Below are 4,308 nucleotides of genomic sequence, written 5' to 3' on the forward strand. Positions count from 1 at the left end.
GAAGTGAAAGGGGGAAGTAGAGGAATCTTTCTGAAAACACCAAACAGCAATGTGGACCAGTGTGAGAGAATCCAGACCACAAAAATCAAAATTTAATAGAATTAAGTACTGCTGTGACATCCTGGGGTGAATCACTTCTCAAGGCTAAAGCTACTCTAGTTTCAGAACTCTCTAGGCTCTGTCTTTCAAGGAAATCACAACCTATTCTCTCTGCTACTAGAGATGAGGTGAGATTGCAGGCCTATTGAAATCCACATAATCTAAGGATGTCCCTGAATATCCCCAGAGATGAAGAATTTCTCATTCAACACAGAAAAGGCCTCCTCTGACCGCTGATACCTCTACTGGAACACCTCCAGCAGGCCGTCTGTAGACCTGATGAAACATCTCAATCACAAGACAACTCTCACCTTGTCTGATATATATGAAAATATCCTGACTCATCAGTCCAGGGGGAAACCACAACTTTTGATCTGAGTAGAAGGCAAGCTGAGGAGTAAATTATAGCCCCATCATGCTCTTCCTAGATAATAGGCCATAACATTTTTACTTAATGTCCTAGAATCCAAAATTTGCTACAGGAATGTCTTGGCAAATATATATTGATTGAAATACATATGCCTGGTATCTGGTGGCAGAGAGAAGAAGTTGTGATTTCCTTGAAAGACAAGAGGCTAGAGAGTTCTGAAAATATGATGGCTTTAGCCTTGAGAAGCGATTCACGTCAGGAAGTCAGAGTGGGTATTTAAATAATTCTATTAAATTTTGATTTTTGCCATTTGGATTCTTTCACACTGGGCAACATGCTGTTTGGTGTTTTGAGAAACACCTAATGCTCTCCCTACCCATAACAAACCTGCACACTCTGCTCATGTATCCCAGAACTTAAAAAAAAAATTAAGAAAAAAATGGAAAAATCCGTAGTGACGTTTTTTGGTACGTATAATATTTTGGTATGTATAACTCTTTAAAACTTTTTTATGCTATTATCTTGTGTATATGTATGTGTATATATATATATATATATATATATATATATATATATATATATAAAATGTTAATGGCAAAAAAAAAGAAACACCATGGTGCTTCAGGTATGGTGCCAGGTGCTGGAAGTACAGTGTTAATCAAGACTTGGAAAGCTTTCATTCTGGTGGAGAAGACAGCAAGTCAACAGGAAATTACATAGAAGTGAATTGTATGTAATTTCTGAGAGTCCACTAAGAGGGAAATCTGACCCAGTTCTGGGGATGCATAAGAGGCTTCCCTGAGGAAGTAACATCCAAGCTGAAAGAATATCATTCTAGGACTGAGAGATGAGCATGCACTAAGATGGAAGGCAGTTATCGTGACCATCACCATCACATCAAGATATCTGTGAATAGATAATAGACATAGGATGGATTAAGAGTGGTCTGTATTTTTCTAATATAATGTTTTTCTATATATCTGTAATAATTTATTTTCTAACTAGGGTTTGTATTGAACATCAACTATATTTTAGACAATGTCCATGGCCTTAGAAGAATAAAAAGGTGAATAAAGTGCATCTCTCTTAAAGACTTTAAAAAAGTCAATGTGGTAAGGGCCAGAGTAGACATAGACACAAGGAACCATAAAGACATAGAGCTGTCAAGGCGGCACATGGGTCCTTTGTCTCCTTGCCGTGTGACCGTGCTGTCATCTTTCAGCTGCCTTCATTTGTCCCAGGAGGAGCAAGGGTATAAAATGGCAGTCAAGAACCTGATCTGCAGAATCCCACACATCTGGATGAAATCTTGACTTCACCTCTTGCTAGTTGGGTGACTCTGGTCAAGTACTTAGCCTCTTTCACACTGGTAAAAAGGAGATAAAAATAATGTCCAGCTGAAGTGGATGTTGTTATTGATGTTTGTATGAATACATTAATGACATAGAACTCTCAGCTTAGTCCCTATGCTGAGAACTATTCTGTAATACTAGAAGTAACAAGTATAATGAACTAAAAAGCACTTTATAATTGACATAATATCCTACCAACATTTTTGTATTCCTTATAACACTGGAAAATAGTATTTAGCATGAGTTTAGAACTCCAATATTTATTGACTGACTAAGGATTGAGGGAAGTTGAAATCATATTGCCTGTTTTCTTGTTTCTACCATAAGTTTTGCTGAATGAATAGATTTCAATTAGCAAAATAAAATTTCACATTTATGATGTTATACAAGATGTCCAAACACAAAAATCATATTTATTTACAACTACTGTGTAAATGTTTAAGTTTACGTCAGTCAAGTACTATTTTTGTTGTGGTATTTAAGTCACTGACAGAAATATTTTAGTTATTGGTGCCAGAAGTGTGGTTAGTACTTTGAAACATCAGCCAGGAAGTACATATACCATGATTTATTAAGCAATTGCTTGACTAACCAGGAACTTTTAGATTTTATATTAACAAAGGACAAAAATAATTGTTTTCAATGAGAATGTAAGAAACTGAAATTTTTAAACTTTTCTAATTTTTTTTTGAAAAACATTTAAACCTTTACAGTTTAAAAAATAAATTTTCATTTTGGGGTAATTCTAGATTTATATAAAATAGTAAGGATAATACAAAGAGTTCCCATATAGGAAGCCCTCACCTGTTTCAATTTCCCCTACCGTTATCATTTCACATCATGGGGGTGCATTTATCAAAACTAAGAAACCAAGATTGCTACATTACTATTAATTACAGGCTTTATCCAGCTTTTTTCAGTTTTTCCATTGATACCTTTTTCCTCTTCTAGTATCCCTTCTAAGATACTACATTACATTTAGTTATCTTTGCTCCGTCTCTACATTACTATTAATTACAGGCTTTATCCAGCTTTTTTCAGTTTTTCCATTGATACCTTTTTCCTCTTCTAGTATCCCTTCTAAGATACTACATTACATTTAGTTATCTTTGCTCCGTCTCTACATTACTATTAATTACAGGCTTTATCCAGCTTGTTTCAGTTTTCCATTGACACCTTTTTCCTCTTCTAGTATCCCCTCTAAGATACTACATTACATTTAGCTATCTTTGCTCACAGACGTCTCTTCTCCATCTGTGAGTTTCTCAGTGTTTCCTTGTTTTTCATGACCTTGACAGTTTTGAGGAGTACTGGCTAGGTAGTTTGCGGCGTCTTTCAATCTGGGTTTGTCTGACGTTTTGGTCATAATTAAACTGGGGTTATGAGTTTTCACAAAGAATACTACAGCGGTAGAGTGTCCTTCTCATCACATTGGGGGTATGGAATCTCAACATGACTTATCACTGGTAATGTAAATTGTGATCACTTGGTTAAGGTAGTGTTTGCCAGGTTTCTTCGATGTAAAATTACTGTTTGTCTTTTTCTATATTCTTTCGTTTGGGAGCAAGTCCAGCCCACAGTCAGGGTGAGAGGTGAGGTAGGGGGATTTGTCTCCTTGTTCTTATTTACTTATTCATGTATTCATCCATTCAATCATTTATTTATATCACTATAGATTTGTATATTTACTTTAAACTTTGGTAACAATATAATGCTTTATATATTTTGTTGCTCAAATTGATCCAGCTTTGGTGATTGGGAGCTCTTTCAGGTCAGCTTCTTCTTTGTGCCTTTGAGAAACTCTCATCATTTTCCTTGTTGGAACATTTCTGTACTGTCTGGCACTACGAGATGCTCCTGGCTCATCTTACATTTTCCTGCCCCAACTCTAGAATCAGCCACTTCTTCAAGGAGCCCCAATTCCTTTCAGTAGAGACTGATATTTAGAAACCAAGATCTGAGTGCTGAGTATGGTCTTTACTACTACGGGAGAATCATACATTTTTAACTATGTGACAGGGAGTCTGTGGTCTTGTCAGTGCTTTATGGGTGGGAAAAATACTGGAAAGATAAATTTGTTGTTCTTGCTATTAAAAGACTCTTCTCCCAAATCAGTGGCTGTATACGTAATGATTTCTATAGCCATTTGTTAGTAATGGAGGAACAGCCGCTTGGAGTAATCAACTTTGAACTTCAAAGAAAAGGCAGTGAAGAAGCTCAATTACATTTATTTGTAGGCTGGTGCCATCTAGAAGCCGCATTTTATTTTCCATGACTACAGATAATAATATTTCTAGCCTTCAGTGGTAAAATATAATCTCCTTTTGTTTTAGAGACGTTTCCGAGATGATTTCTTGTTCTAAGTCGAGACTCTTCTATCTTCATGAACATACAGATCTTTTTGCTCAAAAACTTGTCCAAAGTGAGAACAGAATCGCAGGTTGTTAGTGCCCTCTATTCCAGATTCACAGATCCACAGTTATGTAG

Source organism: Homo sapiens, chromosome 1 (genome assembly GCF_000001405.40).
Source record: "Homo sapiens chromosome 1, GRCh38.p14 Primary Assembly".
Taxonomy (NCBI): Eukaryota; Metazoa; Chordata; class Mammalia; order Primates; family Hominidae; genus Homo; species Homo sapiens.